Source organism: Homo sapiens, chromosome 2 (assembly GCF_000001405.40).
Source record: "Homo sapiens chromosome 2, GRCh38.p14 Primary Assembly".
In the NCBI taxonomy this organism is placed as follows: Eukaryota; Metazoa; Chordata; class Mammalia; order Primates; family Hominidae; genus Homo; species Homo sapiens.
In genome coordinates, this window is record NC_000002.12 from 191792604 (window position 1) to 191820482 (window position 27879).

The 27879-nt window shown below is 37.5% G+C and overlaps 1 long non-coding RNA gene across 1 annotated transcript; it reads left to right on the forward strand.

Moving 5' to 3' along the window:
* Positions 1-236: 236 nt before the first annotated feature.
* Positions 237-27646, forward strand: LOC729254 (hCG2045843). The gene is made up of 5 exons (NR_157850.1): positions 237-318; positions 672-856; positions 18918-19038; positions 21740-21836; positions 27358-27646. It is a non-coding gene; the product is annotated as an hCG2045843 (long non-coding RNA).
* The last annotated feature ends 233 nt before the right edge of the window (positions 27647-27879 follow it).

Sequence of the window (27879 nt, forward strand, 5' to 3'; positions counted from 1 at the left end):
TGATGAAGACTCACTGCCTGTCGGAAAATCCCTTCCCTCTTTCCTGAAGATGTACTTGAGGGTGTCTCCCCATTCTCTTTTCTTTCAGCATTTCTTTGTTCATTATTTTTTCCCCATGCCAGCCACCTTAAATTCTTTTAGAATTAATTCTTTATAGAATTAGAATTCTTTTCTGGATTATGACAATGGGAGTAGAAAACAGTGTTATTCAGTGGACCTTTATCCAGAGAACAGGCAAGAGAGGAGATAGATTGGGGAGCAGGGAGAAGGATATGGAAGAATCACAGGCATCTAGCCTCGACCTGGAAGAAAGGCAGGGTAACAGACCATGTAGGATAGTCTGGGAGAGGAATCATAGTTGGGAAGAGGATGACGAGCTTAGTATTGGATGTGTTGCATTGGGATTGTCAGGGGTAAACTGAAATAGAGACACAAACAGCCTAATGTCAGAAGCTCAGGTTCACAAGGCAAAATTTGTGAGTGTATTAGTTTCCTACAGCTGCTGTAAAAAAAATTATCAAAAATGCAGTGGCTTGAAACAATACACATTATCCTCTTATAGCTTTGGAGATCAGAAATCTCAAATGAGTCTCACTGAAATTAAGTTGTCAGCTGGGCTGCATTCCTTCTGGAGCCTCCAGGGAAATAATTTGTCTCTGTGTCTTTTCCAGCTTCTCTATGCCACCTGAATTCCTTGGCTTGCAGCCCCTTCTTCCATCTTCAAAGCGAGTAGTTGAGTGTCTTCAAGTATTTCTGATTGTTACTCTCCTGCCTCCTTCTTTTACGTATAAGGATCTTTGTGATTACATTGGTCCCACCAGGAAAATCTACACACCTGCAAAGTCCCTTTTGCCACGTAAGACAACTTATTCTCAGGTTCCAGGAGTTAGGACATACACACCTTTGTGGGGGTGGGGAGCAGTATTCTGTCTACCACAGGAAGCATTTATATAGAGGTAATAATTAAATTTAACTTTTTATTATTCTCTATGCCCAAGAGAATGTGGGTAAAAAGAGAAGTCCAGAGTGCTAAAGAACAAGACTTTCTCATCGTGTTTTCCCATATCCTCTTCCTGTTTCTCTTTTCAGTATCAGGGTTAATTCTTGTCACCCACTGTATTTCCCTCCCCACTCTTTTAACTGCTCTCCAGTGTCTTATCAACAAAGGCTTCAACTCTGGTGCTAAAAGAGAGTGATTTCATTTTTTTAAGTTAATTTTTACCTGTATACTTGCAAAGCACTAGAATTTTCTTTTAAATGCAAAGGGAGTCCTTATTTTTATTTTTCTAGTCTTAGTGTTATCTTCAGTCATATCTGCTTAGGTTGAATTTCATACAATAACATTGTAGTTGCACTACTGCTAAGTCACTCACATATAGTTCATCCTTTTCCTCCACTTAAATAATGAGAAACTAATTATGTTTTCAATAGTAGGACTAAACTGCTGTGCTATTGACAAAGTCTTGATTGATTTGAAATATGAGAAAGCTGATGCCCTTCACTGAAATAATTGGCTTAGACTCTGGGGAGTCCACCTGAATTTAACTGTTGAAAATGCTTATTGAGTGCTGGCTTCCCAGTGGGTCCTGTGCTTGGTGCTGCTACACACTTGATCTAAGAGGCGGTGTGCTGTAGGCTGAGATACCACTTAACCTGTGGCAGCAGGGTGTGTGAGCTTTGGAGTCTGCATCCACTCATTTGACCATTGATTTTTTTCTTCAGTAAACATTGGAGTCCCTCTGATGTGCTAGGCATCATATTAAACCTGAGGGAATAGAATATTGAATAGACCATAGTCCCTAGTAATCAAGATACTTCAGTGATTGGGGTGAGTGGAAGAGACCCACAAGGAAATAGGCAACTATATTACACCATGATAAGTGCAGTGCTGTGACAGAGGGTGGTATACCTAGAGTATCATGGGGACAGATACAAGAAGAATCCAATCCAGATGTGGGGTTCCAGGGAAGGCTTCCTATAGAAGGTAATATCTAAGTTAGTCCTCCAAGGCCAGTAAGAGTTATTCAAGCAAATACAAAGATGTGGAGAGGGCATTATGATCCTTCCTGAGAGAAGTGCTTTCAGGTGGAAAAGATGAGGCAAGATAGCAGGTTTGAAATTCCTACTCAACTATTCTGGATATCCTTAAGAAATTACTTAAGCTGTCCAAGATTGAGTTCCTTCATTCTGTAAAATGTAAAATGTAAAATGAGCCTAACAGTGTCTCAAGGACTTGTCAAGGACATTGTGGAGTTGGGATTTAAAATATTATCTAAGGATAATGTGTTTCTTTTTTTATTTAATTTTTTCATCTTTATAAAACATTTGTTATATAGTAATACACCAGTGATCCTTACTGTGTTAGTCCATTCTCATACTATTGTAAAGAACTGCCGGAGACTGAATAATTTATAAAAGACAGAGATTTAACTGACTGACAGTTCCGCATGGCTGGGAGGCCTCAGGAAACTTACAATCATGGCGGAAGGGGAAGCAAACACATCCTTCTCCCCATGGTGGCAAGGAGAATTGCCAAGCAAAGATGGAAAAGCCTCTTATGAAATCATTAGATCTCATGAGACCTCACCCACTAGCATGAGAACAGCAGTATGGGGGTAACTGCCCCCATGATTCAATTACCTCCCACTGGGTCCCTCCCGCGACACACGGGGATTATGGGAACTACAATTCAAGATGAGATTTGGATGGGGACACAGCAAAACCGTATCACTTATCACTTCACAAAAGAACTAAAACACAAAATAACAAAAATAAAATCCCAACCTGAATACATTCTCAACCTAGCATGAATCAGGGTTACCTGTTCTGATAGCATCAATGTAATTTAGATTATTAAATAATTAACAATAATTTTATTTTGCCAATCACAGTTGAAGAACTTTTATCCTTAGTCCAATACATATGTATACACACACACACACACACACACACACACACACACACATATACACATATATATGTGTGTGTGTATACATATGTATATACATATATACACACATATATGTGTGTGTGTGCTAAATAAAGCTTGTTGATAAAGACTTATCATTTATTTTTTGAGACATTTTGACAAATCAGATGAATACACACCCACATGGCTTAAAATAGACCAATCATGGGCCTAAAATATAGCATGTGTTTTCTTTGATTTTTGTAATGTTTTTTCATAGGAAGTTTTCTTCCAGGGAAACCGTGAGTTTATTAAACTGGAGGTTCTCTTTCTGTTGTTGGTAGCAGCTGGGGACAGTGGTCATGACTAAGAGGGAATGAGAAGCATTATTTTAAGTGAGGACAGTTTAATCATGCTGACTGATGAACGCATCCTGCAATTTAGAACAATTTGTCCTTTCTATGCAAGTCTGCATCATCATTTGCTGTTGCTCTTGTTATAAATATATTAAGGACATAAGGATGCTGGGAACTACTTATTCTGGGGGAGCAGTCTTATAAAAATTATTTATTGTTTGGCATCATGAATTCATGGAAAATTGAAAAGTGGACATGGCATTGTGAGTCATAGAGTGTCAATGACAAGGTTAAGAATAACAGCTTTAATGTCAGAGAGACCTTGCTTTGAATTTAGGCCGCACTAGATAGGTCTGAAAAATTATCATTACCTTCACGCATCAGTTTTCTCATCTGTAAAATAGAGATATCAATAGTACTTTCCTCAAAAGGTACTTAAAGAAATTAAATGAAATAATCCACTAGAAGTAATTATGTTTGCTACAGTATTCCATGACAGATCAATACTATTAGATATCATTATCAAAGAACGTTTCTTGTTTTTTAAGAGATGAGCTCTTTTCATGATTGAATGGCCTTTTGAAAGTATAAGAGGAAGTAAAAAAAATACCTATTAGGTATGTGGAAGTAATCTCTGTACTGAATGTAGAGTCAAGAGATAGGAGGGAATACCTAATTCTAGAAATCTTTTCCAATGAGACCATCAAAGGAAAGCAGTCGTATATGGGCCAGAGTGGGAAAGGACATGAAACCTGAGATCTCAGGTGTGAATTTTTGTAGGCTGGCTTCGTACCATGCATGCATAGGTCCTGCATAAGTTGTTTGAATAATTATAAAGGTAATGAGATGTCAGTAAAACGAGTCAAGAAAGGTTCAAGTTAAAGTGATATGATCTTGAAAGCAGGCCCCTAAAGATTTTTTAAATTGTTGCCTTCTGAATATGATTTTATTCTAATAAGCTAATTAAAAGTGTAAAAATGAGCCTGAACATAGACTTATGTTTGACTCTTGTCTTATTTTTAAAAAATAAGTGCAGTGCTTTCTATTCCTCCCTCTTAAGATATAATTCCCAGCTAGGACACTTCAGGATAGATTGGTCAGGCTACTTCCATTAGCACGGCTATTCTTCCCATTGCAGGTGTGGGCCTGATCTATACACCTCTGAATTAATGGAGCCTCACTCCCTGTCACACAGGCAACTTGCCAAGTGGACTTCTTCTCTCCCTCAGCTCTGCAGAGGGCACTGCTGAATGCCTGTGAGTAGGCATGCTTAATTAAGTAGGGGTCCTTACTTTTAATAATGTTCTATTTTTAATTCTGAAATATTCTTAATTCTAAGGACAAGTCCACTCTTAAAAGGATCTGGACTGCAGGCTAAAAATGGTTTTTGGTGAATTTATTAGCCATTATTTAGGCTGAAAATAATCTGTTTTGTAAATCAGGAGAACTTGAACAATTACCCAGAGGTACCCTGAGCAAGTATCACATTGGGTCTGAACAGATTGCTGCTTTTTCTTTTTCTCCCCAGTGCTTCATATTACCTTTATGCCTCTAAGAGTGTGCTTAACTATAAAAGAGGCGATATAAACACGAATCTATGCGACAATATGCCGCATGACCCAGATCAAAGGCACTCTGGCTTTCCCTGAATAAAGGCTTCATGACAAGCCATTGCAAGAAATACTTCAGGGCTTTATAAGCCTAATTAGAATTTCATTAACTTAATCATAAATTACCCCTGGCTCAGGTCGGCTTGTTACCTTTTCCCTCTCAGTTCAGATTTTGACCCATGGGTTTCCTGTTTAATGTGGCAGCTGCTGAGATTCTATGTGAAGGATAGGCTTGAAATGCACGCAGTCAAGGGGCTATCTTTCTCAGTCTGTTTGAAGTACACCTGGAAATTGCAGGCTTAGCAGGAAGAGAAAAAGCTCAAATGCCCACAGATACTGCAGCTTGAAGTGGTAAATGGACTGCACTCTAAGGGAACATGGAGATATGCTGCCGCTGCACCAAGGCCGCTTTGGTCTTAGACAAATTCAGATCTCATTTAAAAAGACTTAATGTTCCTGATCTAAGTTTTAAGATTCACTTAGAATTTAAATCAGGCAACAGATAAAAATCAAAAGTTTGAAATGTCACACATAAACTTATCAGCTTATGGAAATGGAAGAATACTGAGGAAGCTGCAGCTGGACTGTTGTCCAGTAGCTGTGAGAGTTATGTGCTGCTCAAAGGCATGAATCCTGTATCACTTAAGACAATCTGCTGGCTGCTATAAGTTTGACAGTTCATGGCACATTGTAAATTCACCTGAATCTGATTTATGTGCGTGCAAACACTATAATGAGAAAAATTACTACAACTGTTAGTGGGAGATGCTATCTGAATGGGTGCCAAGATGCTGGCTGATTGTTGGTGCAATGCCAAGCTTTTTTTAAATATATATATATATGTATTCTTTCAAATCACAAAATTGCTTTGCCTGAGGGTCAATTTATAAATGCCTATGGAGTGTTTTTTATTTAATGTAGATAAATCATTCTGCATTTTAAATTGTTCAGGGTTTTAATTGGCAATATGTATGACATCTTATCTTGTTTAGTTTGATCTGGTTTTCTTTGCAGCCAAGGGCACAAGAGTTGACTGTCTCTGATAACAGTTATAAAAATGCCTTGATACTTATCTATACATTGCCTTAAAAAATACAACAGTATTTTTTTAAGTTGTTGGTGCAAGTGACTGAAATTCTTGAAAGATTTTTATTTCCTTTAGTGTTCATATCTTGAGGACTTCAGTTGGAATTCTAATTGCACTTAATTTCTGCCTCTTCACCCATCTGGAACATATCATGGCCCTAGACCAAGAGTTCTTAAACTATTTAATTTCTCTAGCTCTTGAAGGAAAAGCCCATTTACTTTTACAATTCTCTTATGAGGTTATGGGAATGGGTTCTTTAAAAATAAAGATTTTCGAGAAAATCTTTAAACTTTTTTGAAAAAAAAATACAGTTTATTTTAACTTTGGAAAACCTGAGGGAAATCTTGTTGAACTCTAGATGCATAACTCAATCCAGGATGGTGAGAACTACCTGGCCATCTCTGGAGTGTTTTCTGTTTAGAGCCAAATAAGTGATTGCTCAAGGTAGGGGAGAGAGTCTATCACTTCTGGTTTCACGAGTCCTGAGATTACTTTTTGTAATTATCTCAAACTAGCATTATAGTTCAGCATCAGGCCATTTCTCTCTGTCCTACAATATCACCCTGATAGGTCCAGCTAAACCCAGAGGCCCGAAATGTTCCTCTTCTTCTAATGTAAGCATGGCTGGGAAGAAGGGCAAACAACTGGGGCCTCAGACAAAGAAAAAGAATCGTAAGGTAACTGGCATTCCAAACCCGTTTAATGTAATCAGGCCAGAATTGATCTTTCAATCCAACATTCAAACCCCAAATTTATACTGAGTGCATACTACATTCAAGATACTCTATGAGGTATTGTGTTGTCAGGAAAAATTCTGAGAGACTGAATGGGCCCAAAAAGTGGGGGAGGGTTGGGTGGGAGAGGGAGAAAGAGAATTTGCTGTGTCTAGCATGACCTTCTGGGATATCTCTGATTTTCATTGTCTTTCTGCTATTTTATGATGCCGTAAGTTGTATAAAAAAAGGATAATAATGCAAATGATTCTTGTCCATGGAAAGGTAAATTAATTGTGTCTGGTGGGAAGAAATTGATTATAGCTCAGTGAATAGATCTGTTAGGCATCTACTTGTAAATTTATTTCGGAATTCCTTAACTGATTATATGGTTGGTACTTTAAATTATCCTCCGAATGGGTTATAACATCTTACTAGTCCCCTCACTCATTATTGTACTAAATAAAATATTTGACATGTGTTCATTTTGCATTTGTATAAAGGTCATGATTATCCCTCTTTTAAACATTGTCTTTGACAATTAAAAAATGACTCATACTTGCTCTTAAATTATTTGGTTTTTAATTGGGAAAATAAGATATATAACTACAAACAGATACACAGTTCTGAGCTCTGTCAGTCAATGAGGTTGGTGTTACTACATTTTTTTCAGAGGGAGGGGAGATCATTCTAATCAATAACTATTGTACTTATTATTCTTTCATTTCCTTTAACTAGTTGATTACTATTTGCAAGCAAGAAAATTCATGTGAAAAGATAAAAGAATAAAATTATAGGCTACTGTAGCCCAGAGAATGTTTTAAAAACACATTTTTGACAAGATTTTTTTATTATCAAAATAATAATATTATTTGGGAAATAATAAATCATAGAAAATAATAAAATTTGGAAACCATGGAAAAGTAGAGAAAATAAAAACAGTAACCCACAGTTTTACTAAGCAATGTGACCAACGTGGTATCTTTTCATCCAGATTTTCTATGCTTAGTTTTGTTGTTACTTGTTTTTGCTTCAGCTCAGTTTGGTTGGTTGGTTTGTTTCTCTTGCACAGTACATGCAGGCTGAATAATCCCCCTTCCCCTGCTTAGATATCCACATCCTAGTCCCTAATTCATGTAATTTGTGAATATATACAATTACGTGGCAAAGTAGAATCAAGGCTGCAGATGAAATAAAGGTTGCTGATCAGCTAACTTTAAAACAGGGAGAGTATACTGGATTATTCAGGTGGGCCCAATGTAGTCATAAGAAAATGTGGCACATATACACTATGGAATACTCTGCAGCCATAAAAAAGGATGAGTTCGTGTCCTTTGCAGGGACATGGATGAAGCTGGAAACAATTATTCTCAGCAAACTATCACAAGGACAGAAAACCAAACACCACATGTTCTCATTCATAGGTGGGAAATGAACAATGAGATCACTTGGACACAGGGCAGGGAACATCACACACTGAGGCCTGTTGTGGGGTGGGGGTTGGGGGAGGGATAGCATTAGGAGAAATACCTAATGTAAACGATGAGTTGATGGGTGCAACAAACCAACATGGCACATGTATACCTATGTATCAAACCTGCACGTTGTGCACATGTACCCTAGAACTTAAAGTATAATTAAAAAAAAAAAAGTGGAAGAGAGAGGCAGAAAAGGGAGAACCAGACAGATGGCAGCACAAGAAGGACTCCATCTGTTGCTAGAGAAGAGAGCCACAAGCCAAGGAATGTAGACAGCTTCTAAAAGCTGGAAGAAGTGAGGCATTTGGGTTTTCCCCTAGAGCATGCAGGAGGAATGTAGTTTTGCTACATCTTGATTTTAGGTCACTGAGATGCATTTCAGACTTCTGACCTCCAGGGCTGTGAAATAATAGTTCATATTGTTTAAGCCTCTGAGTTTGTGGTAGTTTTTTTACAGCAGCAGTAGGAAACTAATGTAGTGCATGTATGTAGATTTTTTGTCTATAAAATTATATGCACCTATGTGTTATTTAAAACATTTTTCAAACATAATTTGTAATGATACCTAATCATTTACTTATTATTTCCATTATTAAAATGATACTCCAATTCGTATCTTTGGGCATAAAGCTTTTTCTATATTTTACATTATTTTCCTAGGATAGAATCACTGTGTCAAAAGGTAGAAGTATGTTTAGAGCAAAAGGGTTGTGAAGAAAAGGCAGATTAAATGTTATAGAATTCATATTTCTGACCCATGAAGGATATATTTTCAACTTTTACCAAACTCATTCAAAAGAACCGAGTAAATAATCCTTCCTGCCGCCTTTTCTACCCCCCTTAGTTGTCTAGTGTGTTACAATCCAAAAACAAGATGAGGCAAATTCCAGAGATCTGGAATGATCTGCGTGAACATCCTGTAGACTCAGGTATAGAAAGCTGCAGAGTGGTGTCATTAATCTTAGAAATAAGTTAAGTGGCTAGGGTCCAGAATTTAGCAGAGCGCAATGAAGAAAAAAACGTTTCCTTCAAGTACATTAAGAGTGACAGTTTTATGCAATCAGGATTCATACATGACAGTGACCATCTTCGGATGGGGCCTCAGAGGCTAATGAGTACAACCTTTAGAATGCAAGAAGGTATTTTGAGGATAAACAAGTGATGCTGTATTTGGTACCATGGTTCAAGTGTTTGCTAATTTCTTACAATGAATAATTTAAGCTAAATGTTAGAACCAACTGTATTATTTTAAATATGTTATTATAATCAGCTGCAGTGTAACCCATCTGTAATTCTTACTCCATAGGGCAGGCTCAGTGATTCCCAATAAATTCTTTTATTGTCTTCCAAGGGTTATAATAATGAACCTCTACAGGTATTTTTATAGCTAGAATCTGACAGTGTTGACACACTTGACAACTGCAGTCATAATGCCTGTATCTGGAGCATGCAAACCAAGTAAATAATGCCTTCTGCCTCTTTCTTCTCCCATGTTCGTATTAAATATTGCCTTTGTCTGGATGTACTACACAACACCCTATCACATCTTAAGCTTTGTACTTTCAGAGGCGAATTCTTGAACAAAGATAAAACGATGCAATCAGTTTGGGAGGAAAAAAGTGAAGCACTGTGTCGATTAGCTCTTTTCTGGATTCCCTAGATAACTAGCGGAAGGGAGGTTTTGAACTTTGAAGCCAAACAGTGAAATGAAGAAGCCCTGATTTTTACATATGAAGGAAAAAAATGAAACTGGGGAATAGAAATGAACTCAAAGGTCCAAGCATAGTGTTAATTATTATATTTTAATTTTTCAATTTATGTAAAGTTTCTCAGCTATCACTTTATTATCTCTTTAACTTATTTTACAGGTTCTTTAATGTAATATGCTATGAGAAGGTAGATCAGGACAAGTTGGACTGTTTATTAGTGGGGTTTATGGGCTGGGAGATGATCTCATGTGAGACATTCCCCCAGGAATGATGCTCATCGTTAAACAGCAAGAGGATAGCTGGGTGGAAAATGTGTCATTCCAGGATGGAGTTGAACCTTAACTCTGCTGTGAAATGGTATAAAATTAGAAAAGGAGAGCATTAAGTGTTGACCTAGAAGACTGAAGAAAGGTTATAACTTCATTAGAATACATTTTTTTTTGAATGGGGTAAATTTTATATGGGATTACAAGGAGGATGGGGACTATTATAGATATTTATTTAAACTATTGGGAGTAATAAGGAAGAACACTGAATAAAATGGCAACAATCGCCAGAAGTAGCTCTATTTATTTTCCCAGGGTAAAGACATTTGCTTGGAATAAAATGGATTTCTGAATAATCACCTTCATCCTAAATGAGTCTACCTGGGAAGAAAAAGCTATTAAGCCATCAATGTACCCCCTCCTCCTTCCTCACCTAGGTATTAGAACAAAATGTTTGCAAACCAATGACCTCATTTTCAGGTAAGGATTGTAAGTTAACAACCTTGCTTATGGAACCTCAATTTGCAAACATATTTCAAATATTTACCTAAATACTTAAGTCTCTAAAATGTCAATTGTTTGAAGATGAGATTTTGAGGACCATGAGGCTATATAAAGAAGTACATGATAAGGCTACTTTGGAGATGTGAATTTGCAAAAAAAAAGTGTCTGAATTTGCAGTTGTTTCAACATTCAATTGTGTGAATAAATTAAGTATTCTAATTTCTTGTTCTTGCTTTGCATATGTAAATATGGTATTTTGTACTTGTGGAATTATTTAGATAATTGGAGAGTTGGATGCTGAGCTCAAATATCAAATCTTTCAAAGGCACATTTGGTTGAAAAAAGAGTCGGACAATTTTTTTCTTCTTTAGTTTTTTGAGTTTTGAGAAAAAGAGTCCTTTTGGTCAACTTATTTTGCTACCAACCTTTCAGAGAGAAATGGCAGTTTATGTGTGGAAATTAATGAGTCAAGGAGAAAACATAATTAGTGACTTAGAAAGGGAAAGTGAGATTAATGTGGAAAAACTCAAATGCATATGTGCCACACACTCTGCCACTGGGCAGCATCAGGGAACTGTGTGCTAAGGGGAAGTCTTAGGTCAGGTGTTGATTGGCCATTGATTTATTCAATAAATATTTATTGAGCACCTAATATATAGCGGGCAGTCTGTTAAGTGCTGGTGATTCAGGAGTGAGTGAGACAGATGAAACTAGGGCCCAATGGAGAAGACCCAGAAAAATGATCATCGAAGGGTGTGGGCCCACTAGAGTGAATTGTAGTGTTGACCACGAGGTGAGTACACTTTTCATTTCTACCTCATTGGCTCCCTGTTAACTAGGGAAGTTTCTGAAAAGGTCTTATGGAACATTACATACCTCACAGTTTCCCTGGACCTTGCAAGGCAAGGGTTGGGTTGCAGATGATACTCAGAGAATGGCCCTTCTGAATACACAGCCACGTGCTGCATGATGACGTTTCTATCAATGATAGACCACATATATGACGGTGGTCCCATAAGATTATGATGGGGCTAAGAAATTCCTATCATCTAGTGATGTAGTCATAGTAATGTCATAGCACAATTGCTTAACTTTAAAAATAAATTTAATGTATCCTAAGTGTACAGTGTTTATAAAATCTACAGTAGCGTACAGCAGTGTCTTAGGCCTTTACATTCACTTATCACTCACTGATTGACTCACCCAGAGGGACCTCCAGTCCTGCATACTTCGTTCATGCTAAATACTGTAGACGGGCATATCATTTTTTATCTTTTACACTGTATTTTTACTGTCTCTTTTCTATGTTTAGATATGTCTAAATACATAAATAATTACTGTGTTATAATTACCTACATTTTTCAGCACAGTAATAGGCTATACAGGTTTGTAGCCTAGGAGGAATAGGCTATGCCACCATAGAGCCTAGGTGTATAGTAGCCATCCCATCTAGGTTTCTGTAAGTACACTATATGTTGTAAGAATATTTCGTTCTCACAACAACAAAATTACTAATGATGCATTCCTCAGAACGTATCCCTGTCATTAGCTGATGCATGATTACTTTGGTGATCTAGGTTTTGTGTTTCTCAAGCAGGGTCAGACCATTCATGTTGTTAACAAAGAGTTATTTAGCTTCTTCTGGGTTCCAGGAATGGTAAGGTTGCGATGGTGATGAATCATTCATAGACCCTGCTCTCATGGGTCTTCCAGGCTAGTGGGAGGGATAGATATTAATCAAATAGTCAAGGAAACAAAGATGTGATTACAAACTGCGATTCGAAGTATGAAGCTCTGCAAAAGCACAGAACGGAGTCTTTCATACCGTGCTGCGATCTGAAGGGATGGAGAGAGTTTAGTAGGGGAGTGGGAGGGAGACGCACATTCCAGAAAAAGGCCCGTTTATGACAATTCCTGGGATTGGGGAGGAATAAGGCCGTTACGGCTGGACTGCAAAGAATTTAACAAAAGAGACAAGATTATGATCAGGGAACATAGATACAAACAGATGGAATCCTGCTGATGCTAGCTGGGTGGCTGGAGATTTCTAGCAAGCACAGAGAAGCTCTCTGCTTCTAGTCAAGAAAGGGGCTATGCAGGAACATTAGATAACTTGTTTTTTCAAAGTTAGGTTAACATTAGACAAATTTACTGAATGGGAGTATTTTGTTGTAACACTTTAAATCCAAATGGAGTATGATACTATTATGAAATACCAACATGCCATTTAGGAGTTCATCTACATCTAGTCATTTTCTCTATGTCATGGGCATTAAGGTGTGATCTGATAACACATTTCTTACAATCTAGCACAGTGCCTGCCTGGAGTAGGCACTAAAACATTTTTCTGGTAGATTAAGTTTAATTTAATCACAATAATGATTACCCTGTAGTCTAAAACCTAATGAAAACCTTTATGTAAGGGGGACAGAATAAGGAAGACAAAAGGAGGCCATAACTAAATAATTTACATTTGCATCGCAAAGGCTGAGTTGCACAAGTCCTGGAGAAAGGATTTTTTTTTTTTAATTACTGAAATTTTGGGACAATTCAGAGGCATTTTCTTATGTTAAATCTTGAGACTTTATGATTGTGAGAATTTTATCTGCATAATCTACCTGCAAAAGGTGCATCTTATCTGACAAAAAGCTTCAAACTCATTAGAAGAGGGAGTCCTATATGTTTTCATGAGTGTGTTGTACTGTAAGCTCTGGTATCAAGACTTGTATTCTGATTTAATAAATCCACTTCTAGTTTTGGTTGGATAGAATATTTCTGCTTATCTTGATTGCATTTATAACGGCAATTTTCAAACAAGAGTCCATATAAACCTGGGGGTACACAGACTTTCTAGGAGCTACAAGGTCATGGATACCTTTAAGGGAACCAATGGCCAAATCCCCAGCTTGTATGTGTGCTATGGTTTAAATGTGTCCCCTCCAAAATTCAGGTGTTGCCAATGCAACAGTATGGAGGGTTGAGACCACTAAAAGGTGATGAGGTCATGAGGGCTTTTCCTTCATTAATGGGATAAAGGCCGTTGTGAAAGAGGCTTCAGGCAGTCCTCAGCTGGCTCTTCAGCTCTTCTTCTAGGTAAGCCCACAGCATTCTGCCCCTCTGGAGGATGCAGCCTTGATCTCGTACCTCCCAGATTAAAGAAGCGTGAGAAATACATGTGTCTTCTTGTTAAATGACCCAATCTACAATATTTTGTTGTGGTAGCACAGACTAAGACAATGTGTATGTTTTCCTAACACTAATCTTCTGGACAGAATGACTGTGGTGGGCCAGTTTTCCTACCCCACTTCCCCTTTTATAATCACTCTCCTCTATTCTCTATAAGAAAATTACATCTCTCACCCATCTCTAATCTTACCATGGTGTACAGTGCTGGTATTTGAGATTGCATCATTCCCATAAAAGTGAAAGCTTTGGTGAGAATTACTGAAACATGATACATCTTATTTTCATATTCTGGTAACAAACTCATGTCTTTCTGTCTCAGTCTATCTAAAAATGAATTTGAATTCATAGGTAAGGAAGTACAAGATGCAATTTAGTGGTGTTTCTTAAAAATAGACAAGGAAGCTAGACATTTTCTGTTAGTAAGTCTGACTTGGTTGATTGGTTTGACAGTGAAGACAAGGTTTGCCAATTAGTTCCGTTGACATTTTCTATAAGCTTAACGAATGAAATTTTCAGCCCCAAGATTTTTGAAAAATATACATTTGATGCATATGTTAATGTGTAAATAATCATAATCATTTAAACTTACAGTAAAAGTTTCAGAAGTCAAACTTAATGATATGAGAAGGGATACATAGTTTTTCAAAAAGTCATGGATTTGAAATATTAGCTGATAGGAAGAAGAAAAAGTATGGTGGCTCAGTGAATGAAAAGGACTATCCCAATTATCTCACTAGGAAAATGACTTCATGTTAATTAAATAATTTAAACATTAAGAAAACAGGTTTCCTGGAGAATGATTGTATATACATTTATAAATAAGTAAATACACGCACACACACACACACACACACACACACACTTCCCACAGTTGTTCTGAGGGCAAGTGTTGGATTTGTAGTTTTTTCATTGACACTCTCCTCTTCTTATAGGGGAGCATAGGTTATGATGATCAGCAAAGTAGTCTTCTAGACATTGAGAAACAAATCTGTCATTCCAATTTTTAAACACTCTGAAGTCAGGGCCAAGATAAAATAATGTTTTGACCCTCGATTTATTATCAAAAGTCTATTTTCTCATTAGAAAAGTAATATTTGTTTCAGAAAATTTTGAAAATAGCAAAAATTATAAGGAAAACAAAGTCAAAACCAGCAATATATTATTGTTTAGCTGTATACAGATACTCTTCAATTTATGATAGGGTTATTTCTGTAAGTTGAAGAGTATTTGTTTTTGGGAAATAAACTCATTGTAAGTTGAGAATATCATAAATTGAAAATGTATTTAATGCACTGAACCTACTGAACATTGCAGCTTATCCAAAGCTACCTTAAATGTGTGCAGAACACATACATTGGCCTACAGTTGGATAAAATCATCTAATGAAAACCCTATTTTATAATAAAGTGTTGAATATCCCATCTAAGAGTATTGTATTGCATACCATTAGCCTGAGAAAAGATCAAAATTCCAGTTTCAAAGTATGGTTTCTACTGAATGCATATTGATTTTGTACCAATATAATGTCAAAAAATCATAAGTCAAACTATTATAAATTGGGGACCATCTGTATCTTTCTGTTCATTTTTCTATGTATAGAAATTTATTTCTTTTTATTAGAAATAAATTTTATTTATTTCTAATTTATTATTTATTTATTTATTAATTCATTAGAAATAAATAAAACTGTTACATTAGAACCTTACTGTGACAGTTTGTAACTACTTTTAAATTTTATCAACATATTCTGATCATTTCACCATTTCATTAAATGTTTTTTATGACATCATTCCTAATGATTGAATAGTATTCCATTAGGAGGAGCAACATAATTAATTAACTCTACATTTTTCATACTTGAGCAAATGTATGGATCCTTTTCAAAAGAAAGATAAATTTTCATGCTCCCTCCAGGCTTGATTTATGTTATTTTCATTATGTTTTTCCCCCGCTATGTAGAAATATAAAATTAGAATAAATTTTTTTATGATGCTAACAACTACAAAACCAATACAAATTTATGTTTAAATTTTGACATAAAATTAATATAAGTGAAATGTCAACAGTCACTTAAAGTGATAGCTGATATTTAATAGTAGGATGATAAGTGTTTTATATTTTCTTGGTGTGCTTCATTTGATTTTGAGCCTGATGGACTATCATTTCAGTCATCTTGAATATAATAATATTTTTCTTCTACAATAAACTTATTTTAAGCCAATGATTCATTGTTTTTATGGATCAGTCAGTTTAACAGTGCACCTCAAAGTACAGTACCATCAAAAGTTTAAACAAAAATTCTTAACTACTAAACTTAATCTTGTTAGATTCAAAAATAGCTCCTCACAGTGTAAATATGACATTGACAGCTATTTTCTAAGTGATAATTCAGCTCTCCCACAACTGCTGTGGCCTCCTTGTTCTCTAGGAGGTTTGCCTTTCCTTGGCACTATTGTGACTATAAGTGCAAACACAAACTTGGCATCAAAATCATAGCAGAGCTGAGGTGGTCTACCAGATCATCCAGAATATCTTTACATTGACATTCTTTAGATTATTTTCAACATAAAGACACTAGATTAAAAAAGGAAACCTAGGCAATACCATTCAGGACACAGTCATCGGCAAAAACTTCATGAATAAAAGACCAAAAGCAATGGCAACAAAAGCCAAAATAGACAAATGGGATCTGACTAAACTAAAGAGCTTCTGCACACAGCAAAAGAAACTATCATCAGAGTGAACAGGCAACCTACAGAATGGGAGAAAATTTTTGCAATCTATCCATCTGACAAAGGGCTAATATCCAGAATCTACAAAGAACTTAAACAAATTTACAAGAAAAAAAGAACCCCATCAAAAAGTGGGCAAAGGATATGAACAGAGACTTTTGAAAAGAAGACATTTGTACAGCCAACAAACATATGAAAAAAAGCCCATCATCACCGGTCATTAGAGAAATGCAAATCAAAACCACAATGAGATACCATCTCACGCCAGTTAGAATGGCGATCATTAAAAAGTCAGGAAACAACAGATGCTGGAGAGGATATGGAGAAATAGGAATGCTTTTACACTGTTGCTGGGAGTGTAAATTAGTTCAACCATTGTGGAAGACAGTGTGTATGGTGATTCCTCAAGGATCTAGAACTAGAAATATCATTTGACCCAGCAATCCCATTACTGGGTATATACCCGAGGATTATAAATCATTCTACTATAAAGACACAGGCACATGTATGTTTATTGTGGCACTATTCACAATAGCAAAGACTTGGAACCAACCCAAATGCCCATCATTGAAAGACTGGATAAAGAAAATGTGGCACATATACACCATGGAATACTATGCAGCCATAAAAAGGATGAGTTCATGTCCTTTGCAGAGACATGGATGAAGCTGGAAACCATCATTCTCAACAAACTAACACAAGAACCGAAAACCAAACACCATATGTTCTCACTCATAAGTGGGAGCTGAACAATGAGAACACATGGACACAGGTACGGGAACATCACACACCAGGGCCTGTCAGGGGTGCCGGGTTAGGGGAGGGATAGCAGTAGGAGAAATACCTAATATAGGTGACGAGTTGATGGGTGCAGCAAACCACCATGGCACGTGTATACCTATGTAACAAACCTGCATGTTCTGCACATGTACACCAGAACTTAAAGTACAAAAAAAAAAAAGAATTAAAAACATAAAAAAATAAAAAAGACCGTCTTTTATAACTCAGACCCTTAAGAATAAGGCTTTTGGAGTCCTCAGTCGCTTGGAACAATACAAAATTTATTATCTTATAGTTCTAGAGGTCAGAAGTCCTAAAATCAGTGTGTCAGTATGGCCATGTTCCTTTTAGAGTCTCTAGGGGGAAAAGCCTGTTTCCTTTTCCAACTTCTAGAGCCTGCCTGCATTCCTTGGCACATGGGCCCTTCTTCCACCTTCAAAGAGCATCACATCAAACTCTGCTTCCATTGTCCCATCACCTTCTATGACTTGGACTCATTTGCCTTCCGCTTATAAGGACCCTTGTGATTTCACTGGGCCCACCCAGGTAGTTCAGCCTAATCCTTCCATCTCTAGATCCTTAGCTTAATCACATCTGCAAAGTACTTTCAACCAAGTAAGGTAATATATTCACAGGTTCCAGGGATAAGGACGTGGACATCTTTGGGGAGGCCATTTTTCAGCCTACCACATCCGAATGCTAAAAACTTGTTGTATATAAATTAAATAAAAAAGCTGTGATGTTGTATGTTGCATTCATTAGCCATGATTATTCTTTTAGGACAAAAGTCTAATGCTAGAATGTACCAACCACAAGATATATACATTAAAAAAAAGACTTTTAGTAAACAATGCCAAATTACCCTCTAGAAGGGTTACTTTGAATTACACTTTTGACAGTAGTGCATAGTTGCTTGACCGCATTGGTATTATTTGTTAAAAATCCTTTGCTATTTGATAGGAAAAAAATTCATTGTTATTTTACTTTTGAGTAATTTGCTGTTAGTTATTTTGATGATATTGAACATGTAAAAATATATTCACTGGTTATTACAGAAATAATTTAGATGGAAATTTTATTCAAGGCTCTACTGCTTTATAGGGTTTACTTTGTAATGTAGAAATCTCCTAACCTGTAAAATTACAGCATCAGGAGGAAAACGTAGAATGCCTTTGAACTAAAGTTCACATCTCAGAGTGTTTAGGAGAGTGAACTAATTGTTTAAACGGATGCAAGGATGATACTGTTCAGGATGAAATAACTGTTCAGTGCATTTTGTGTATATAGTTGTTACGCTCTTCTAACAGGGATAGCCTGTTCAATTATAGATGTGTGCCCAAGTTAGAGCATGTCACTTGTTTCTGCTACACTAGGCGTGGTCTTTCCGGGGAAAACATCTTATGATAAATTTACATTATTGCTAAATAAGAACTAAATATTTTATCTGAGAGCAATTATCATCTAATTCTTGTCATGAAAATATTGGCAGCAGGAAAATTTTCTTAATAGATAAAAATTGAAGGATTTTTATAAATTGTTTTATTACACAACTATTACATACTCATTCAATAAAGAATTTTCATTGCAGATCATCGGAAGAAACAAAAACAAGCTGTGGTGAAGAAGAAACGTTTTCTAAAGCCTCTTTTATCCCCAGGATGGTTGAGAAGTCAGAGGCCTGCAATGCTAGGAAGAGAGGGTCTAAAGTGGTAAGATTAAACACATAATATAAGATGGGTAGGGGTGTATAGGTGGCTATATTTTGTTTGCTTATACTCTATCTTTTCTCCCTCCAAAGCATCACTTGTTGCTGAGTTAGGGAATCCAGAAACAATGCAAGGCAAGCCTTGAGAAAAATCATGCAAAATATTGCTTTCAGAGTTTGGAGAGGCAACAATATCCTTTCTTCTTTGCTCAGTCCCGCTGGGGCTTTGCTTTCCTTGAAGAAGATGCGTCAGTGGTTTTCTTTCTTTAAGATATCTAGGAGGAGGCTGTTTTTAGCTGAGAGCTGCTGCTTTGCCTATCACTGCAGTGTCGTGTAGGATGCCTGGTAGAGAAGGCAGCTGGAGAGGAGGAAGTCGGAAAGTGAATGCCTGTAAAGAAAGAGCTCAGGAATAAAAAGAGAATATGCTAGGCTGTGCGCACCCAGCAGGTGCAGCTTTCAGGCGTGGCAGAACAGGGTGGGTGCCTTTGGCAATCTCTAGTCTCTTGGGATCTTTTATTTGTTTGGTATTCTAAGAAGATCTGACTTATTTGTACCATTTCAATGATATTGTGAGATTAATATGTTTCCTGGTGCATAGTAATTAACATCAGGCTCTGCAGAATGGAATATTCCAGGACTTAGAGAATGCTGGACATTTTATGGGCTGCAGCCAGCAGATGGTGATAGCGTACCACAAAAAAGCCAATGAAGCGGGCTTGGTGAAGCTGGGAGGTTCAGTTTTGTTTTGCTTTGTTATTTAAGCTTGACAATACCCATCTATATATCCTGTGGGTGCACAGTGTTTGAGCCCAGTCTGGTCTTAAACTTGTTTTATGATGATATCATTATTTTTTACTGCTACAAATTAACTGTCGGTTTCAATCTACCCCATGTTTCAGCTGCCTTCAGGGATCATCTTGTCAGTTATGCAGCTTTCCAATTTTATGGCTGAGATCAAGAATGATTCCTTAAAGGCACATGGGAAACACAGTGAAATGTGGGAGAGTGGATGTGAGCTCTGCTACATGGCCGATATTATAGGTGCACAGGAAAGATAGATAAGGGCAAACCACTAAGGCCCCAATTCAGTTTGAAATTTGACTGTCTTGACATTTACTTAGGTGCAATCATTTATCTAGATATTGATGGTGACCTACTATCACTGGAATAAAATGGAGCTAGAGGAGTTTCAGTATTATTTTACAGAGTTATGTTCAAACATGTGAGAATGTAAGGACTTGTGGGCACACCAATATTTTCAGGTCCACAGGAAATTCTTTCACTAGGACATAAAGTCATTCATTCATTCTTCCTTGTGTCCAGTGCTTCTTGAGTGCTTATTGGGTGCTTATCCTTGTTCCACGCGCTAGGAAGTCCTTGCAGACTTACCTCACAGGAACTCCTCGTTGCTGCCTATCTTTTCTTGAAGTGTAAGGGCGAAAGGAGGTTAGGATCCCCTTTATAGAGAGCTGGCAGAGCACCATTGATTGATGATAAACTTGAAGGAGAAAAGGGTCATATTCTAGTTTGCTCCAGTCAAAGATTTCCATCAGGAATAGACTGTTGTAAATCTGCTGCTGAATTCTGCTACTGGCCGGCATACTGTCCAAAGATGTACTGAGAGACATTGGGAAATCCCAAAAGTCAGTTAGAAAGGTCAGGCTATTCTTCAAATGTTAGATGGACAAAGTAAGCATGGGTTCAAGCCCCCTGTCAAATCATCTGCAGTCTACAAATAGCTTATTTCACCAGCTTCCTAACTAATGTGGTATCTTCTTCTAGAACTTGGCGAGTTTTATCAGGATTAAGTAACGATGGTTCCCCTATAGCCTGCCCATTATGAGCCAGGTCCTTTCCAGGTATTACTTTAATCTTTATGACACTCATTCAAGCTGGGCATTATTATACTGTTTTGATATATAAGATAACTGAAGCTTAAAGAAGTTGATTAATTTGCCAAGTATGTAGCCAAGTTGGGAATTAAACCAAGGTCTGTCCATGCCCCTCCGACTATGCCATACTCTCTCTCTTTTGAAGAATTGTTTGCTATAACATTGTTTCATTGGCCAGAACAAGTATGGAAGGGAAATAAAGGAAGCAGTCCCAGGATTTGTGCTGAGAGAGGCTGACATCTGTAAGGGGATCAGGCAGAAGATATAATATACAGGAACCCAGAAGTGTCCCATCATTTGGTCTGCAGGGCTTTGGAATATTGGGAAACAAAATCATCAGAATTTTCTGGGAGGTGGGTGGTTAGCCTGCAGAAATAGGGTGTCTTGTTCCAAACAGAGGCTTCAGAGCATCAGACAGACTGTGGAGTTAAAAGACGAGAAGCAAAGTGCAATTAGAACTGCCATACCAGGAAAACCTTTGCTTGAATGCAGGCTACAAAAGATGGATAGCGATGCATTGGTCTTTTCAGCTCCACTCTCAGGCAGGGATAACAACATGACCGGCAGCAGCATTTTGAAACACAGACAGCCACCACCACTGATATTTATTTATAGAGAGAAAGTGCGCGAGGTGCACAGAAACACTTTGAACACTAAGCGCAGTGCAAATGGGCTCACTATTGATTCTTAGTGGAAACGTTCATGTCTGCCTCATGAACAAATATTACTCCTGAGACCATCTTTAACAAAATATTTAGTCTGACCTCTCCAGACTGCATTTACAAACTCATTTCTCTTTTCGTTATGTTTTAGTCCTTTTCACCGTGATGTAAGTAGGCTCTCCAGCAGTCCCAGAAGACTTTCACAAGAAGAGTTTCAACAACAGAAAATAAGCCTAAGTGATTGTGTGGTAGGTTCCATCAAAAGGTATCGTGGAAATACTACAGAAGAAGAATGAGAAATTATAGGAAGTTAACATAAAGGGACACAAGGGCACATCAGGGTGTAACATCAGCTGGTGTGGCAGATCTTGGAATGCCAGGAAGCAAAGTTGTCAGACAGTGTCTGTGGGGTTTTCCACCCCCATCGTGGCTCCATTTCCACACGTGTGTCATTAAGTCCATTGTGACTGGACACAGCCAAGTGTGGAGAACCACTTAGGAAACTTTAAGAATCCATTAGAACCATTAGATCTCTTCTGAGCTAGCCAGAATAATTAAATCTATGTCCAATTGGAGACTAGTGTAGCTGCCGATTTTACTTACCTTTCAAAATAATCGAGAGGAAATTCTTATGTGAGATTCACTCACAGATGCCTCCTAATGCATCTTTAAAACATTCTACTCATCTCCAGTCAAAAATGGCTTCTTATTTATGTTGCTGAAGGGCATTTTTCATAATGTACTGTGACTTTATTTTAGTAGTCTGTGAACTAAGGTTACCCATAGAATGGTTGGAAATTAAGCAGTTTGTGACTATAAGTGATGTAAAAAAAATCAAACTGGATATTTATTTGATTGCTCAAAGTTCTGAGTGCATTATCTAGATAGCTTGTCCATTTTTGTCTGGGTTAATGTCAGAAGTTTTCAATTGCAAGTCCCTCCAGAGCAGGACTGATGCCATCTCCATCAGTTTAAGAGCCCCAGGTTCCTCATCCAATAAGCATGTCTTGAGTGCCTATGATGAAACACAAGTTCTTGACCGGCACAGGGTGCTCTTGTCTGGAGATGGCAGTGAAGACATTTTTCTTCCTGCATAAATATGTGCAGGAAATCAAAGCTTTTTTTCTTGCAAACTTACCTTTCCCCTCTCCTGATCCTGTAGAAAGACAGGGAAAATGAGGCCTTTTTTTGTTTATTATTATTATTTTTTAATTTTGAGTATTCAATTCAAAGCTAAAGTTGAGGTACATATAAATGATAAATGGCTCTATGCTAAGGAGCTTGCCATTGTGTATATGGCTGTGTAGCAGACATTTGGCTGTGTTTGTTTTTTTTTCCCTTTTGCTTTAATCCCCTCATAGAAAATAAACATAAACTGGGCACGGTGGCTCACGCCTATAATCCCAGCACTTTGGGAGGCCGAGGCTGGTGGATCACCTGAGGTCAAGAGTACGAGACCAGCCTGACCAACATGGTGAAGCCCTGTCTCTACTAAAAATACAAAGTTATCCGGATGTCGTGCTGCATGTCTGTAGTCCCAGCTACTTGGGAGGCTGAGGCAGGAAAATCGTTTGAACCCAGGAGGCGGAGGTTGCAGTGAGCCGAGATCGCGCCATTGCACTCCAGCCTGGGCAACAAGAGTGAAACTCTGTCTCAAAACAAACAAACAAACAAAAACAAACAAACAAACACCATAATGCAGTCTCCCAGTTACTACACTTTCTCTACCATTGCTTCCCTTTTAACCTTTTAATTCTCCCACCAACAGCTTAGAGGCACTTTTGGCCATCTAGCAGCCTGAAGCCTGCAAACCCCATAGTATTTGCAGTCTATTTAGGGATAGACAGGACAGAACCCAAGGGCATCTATCAGTCTTGGGAGCCTCATATGTTCACAGATTTTCTCCATGGAAATGTGTTTTTTTTTTTTTTTTTTTTTTTTTTTTGAGACGGAGTCTTGCTCTATCACCCAGGCTGGAGTGCAATGGCGCAATCTCGGCTCACTGCAACCTCTGCCTCCTGGCTTCAAGCGATTTTCCTGCCTCAGCCTCCTGAGTAGTTGGGACTACAGGCACGTGCCACCATGCTGGGCTAATTTTTGTATTTTTAGTGGAGACAGGGTTTCAGGAAATGTTCTTGGTTCACCTATATGGAATCTAAAGTATTCGCCTCTTGATACAAATTATTTATATTTATAGAAAATTTATTGTATTTCTATACCCTCTAATCACCTATTCTGGAAAATGTTTCCAAAAGTAGAGAATGAAGTGTAGGAAAAAGCCCAGGGGACTAGAGATAAGACGCTACTTCAAAACTTTAAGGCTGGAGCAAGTCACTTTTATAAGTCTCAGAATTCCCACCAGTTAAAGTGGGAGTAATAATGCCTTTCTTAGCTTTGCTTAATAGAAAAGAAGTACAAATCACTTAAAATTCCAAGGTACGTTGCAAGTGTATGGTTAGAAGAAAAAAAATAAAAACATTTATTAGGTTTCTTCTATATGTAACAAGCCATGCTAAGGTCATACTATTGTATAAGGAGAGAGCCTTATCTAAATATTCCTTACTGTGATTTTTGTACATAAACAGATCACCACAACCACAAGCAACAAGGCAGTATTGGTTTCACAGTTAAAACACTGGGTTTTAGGACGGGCAGACGTGGGTCCAAATTCTAGCTCTGCCATTTTGTGATCTTGTTATTTAACCTCTCTATTTTCTCATTCATAAAACAAAGCTAATAATTTCTACTTCATGGTGTTTCAATAGAGATGAAATGAGACATGGTATGATATAGTATTGGGCACAACTTGAGGATAAAATGATTATTTAGGAACATGGGTACCCATCTACCACAAAAGGTAATTTCTCTTTGCTTTAAGTGAAATATTATGCCCTCACAAAAGCTGTAAATTCATGAGTTTTTTTTTTAATTTCATAATCATACCTTAATTTCACATGAGAGAAATCTAGTTTTAGCCAAGAACCTTTCCCACCTCAAGTCTTTTCGTGGAGAATTGAGGGTCTTCCTTCCCACTGTCTTCAAATTTGTGGCACCATCAGCCCATCAGCCTTTGTAGTAGCTACTAATTCTTAGACTCATGGTCTGCCACAAGCTGTTGGCCAAAAGGAACCCATGGGTGTCTGATTGCTGTGCTGCTTCTGCCACATCAGGTAGGGCTGAGTCCAATCACATTGAGTCCTTGGGGATGTGCTTATCAGGGAGGTGTTAAGGTTTACCGCAAAAGCACATGGACTTTGAGCTAGACCACCTGCATTCAAATCTCAGCTTTGCCCATCTTTCCCTGCATGACCTTGAACAAATTACCCTTTTAAACCTCCACTTTTTCATTTAATGAGTGGATAATAGTAATAACCAACATTTATATAAGCTCTTTCCCGGTGCCAGGTTCTGTGCCGGTGTTTTACATGCACTAACTGATTTAACTTTATAGCATCTTGTGAAGTAGGGATTTAGTATTTTCAGTTTTCAAAAAAAAATTGTAGTAAAAAAATTTAAAATGAGATCTACCGCCTTAATACATTTTTAAGTGTACAACACGTTATTGTTAACAATAGGCACAACACTGGAGGGCAGGTCTCTAGAACTGATTCATTTTGCGTAACTAAAACTCTACACCCATTGAACAATAATTCCTCATTTCTCCCTCCCTGAAGGTTTGGCAACCACTGTTCTTCTCTCTGTTTCTAGTCTGAATGTGACTATTCTAGATACTTTATGTAAGTCAAATAATATAATGTTTCTCTTTCTATGACTAGTTTATTTCACTTAGGATAATGTCCTCAAGATTCATCCATGTTATCAGAAGTGGCAGGATTTCCTTCTTTTTTTTTTTAAAAGCTGAATACTATTTTTATTGTATGTATATACCACACTTTAAAAAACCATTTATCCACCTATAGATGTTTAGGTTGTTTCTACATTTTGGCTTTGTAAATAATGCTGTAATGAAGTTGAGAATGTGGATATCTGTTCACGATCTTAAATTGAAATGAGGTGAGGATTATTTCTAACACCAATTTTACAGCTGAAAAAAAAAACAACCAGAAGCATAGAGAGGTTAAATACATTTTTGCAGGGCACACAGCTAGCAATTGTTACAGCTGGGCTTCAGTCCCACTGACTAGTGTGGAGATTGTGTTCTGGAAGTGATAACACTTCACCCTAGCATTGGACTCTTAACAGTACCTGGCACCTGCAAATACAAAATAAATGTCAGCTAATTTTATTAGCAAGGAGGATGTGCCTCTGGCTTTAGTGCTTTTGCCCACCTACCTTGCATTTTTTTAAAATTATATTTCTGAAGAGCTGAAACTCTTTGTTATGAGACTGAACTTAGGCTCGTTAAAGAGGTAAGTCTGTATTAATGTTAACTTAGAAAGTCAGTTCTAACCTCAGACTTCTATAAATTCTGGCAAAATTCTAGTGGGAAGTTTTCCCCCACTTTTCATTTTCTACACCTTCTCTCTCCTTCTAACTGGCATTTCATAAATGTATTTACTGACCCCCACACCTAAATTCAAATATTAAAAGCAAAGCCTTATTCTCTTGTACCAAAAATAAAACCAAAGCTACCATTCACTCTTTCAAACTAGAATTCTAATCCTAGAGATGATGTATTAACTCTATCCAAACATGAACAAAACTGTCCTGACCCTCAGTATCCTCTCTGGAGAAGGTCAGAACGCAGTTGTGGCCACAAAAATCGCCACTGAGCCCCGATATAAATAGCAGTGAATTGGCCATGCAAAAACGGAGAGACTGAAGGGTCAATGAAGCTAATTATAACTTGAGGGTCTTGCCTGATTGTGGGAGGGCAGGGTCAGAAGCCTTGCAAAGCTGACATTTTACTCCCAGATGAGTCTACTTTTGGGAAACTATTTCTTTATGGATGTGTATACAGCCTAGGAATTAGAGGCGGATGCCAGAGGGAGCCTTGTAAGAGCTTACGGCTGTCCTGTAACCGGAAGTTAATCTGCCATTCTCCTCTTATCCTCTGGTTCCTGGTTTGTGATTTTTCACTGCAGCAAGTATTCTGCTTCTTCCCCTTCACAGAAAATGTGGCTTTTCTTATCTGTAAGGTGTCTCAATTTAGTGGAAAAAAGAATTGAGTCCACTGCCCACTCCCTGTTCCAGGACTGTTTTTTCTCAAAATAGGAAATATATAATGTGTAGGCTGGGTGGCTAGAATTAGGTTGAATCAGTACGAAACAGGGAGATTTGTTTGCTTCAGAAGAAAATCTCCCACTGCCTTGGCTGGCTGCAGAATCCAGGACAAATATCAAGACTTGGAGCTATAGAAATCAAATCATCTTGAGTGGATTATTATAATGATGACCCTCTCCATGGATTCCTACATGCCCTTTTAACAAAGCCTTTTGTGGCCAAACTGGCATTTCTAGTTAAGATTTTGAAACCATTATATTTAATGCCTTCTCATTGATTAGGTCAAAAAAGAAAGAAATCGACTTTCCTATGGAGATAGGCAAATCTTTTCTTTCTTTTTCTGTTTTTATAATGAACTGAAATATAAAGCCATCTTGTTCTCTAGATATCCAGAGGAAATTAATCACCTCAAAATAGAGAAGGAGAAAGTTGGAAGTACAAAATGACATGTCTGAGTTTTTCTGTGGCTTCAAAATACCCACCTGGGTAAAGATACCACCAGATTTATTGTTAACCAGCCTTGGGTTCTTATTTCTGATCTACCTATTGGGTAATAAAAGATTCAATTTATTTTGATTGTTTCAGAATATCACAGAGCAACAGAGAAAATGTAGATCACTCCAGTTCTAGCACAAGGTCGGGGAGGAAAAAGAATCAGAGAGTTTGGAATTTCTAAATGCTCGTGTTTGAGAAATGGGGAGCATCACAAACTAACAGCAGAGGTGGACATTTTTTACAGGGTAAAGGATTCCCATGGAACACCACTCGTCAAATGCAAATAAAAATTGTACAAAGAAGGTAACTTCTTTCTCTGTCCCCACATCTCTCCATCTGAAACTTCATTCTTCCATTAAAACAGAATTGTGCTTTGTGATGTATAAAGTCTCTTTCTTTCTCTTCAAGTTGAATGTTAACGTTCTGCTTTGTGCCCTTAACTTAATGGATATTCTCAAAACTGGCAGCTTTTTCTTCATGCGGGAAGAAGAAATAATTCTGAATTAAGAACACCAAAATAGGTTAAGGATACATTATGTCAGAGGCTGTAGATTGTTAACAAGCAAAGGAAGCACAAAGCATGGAGTATAATACAATTAAGCGCACCCGGGT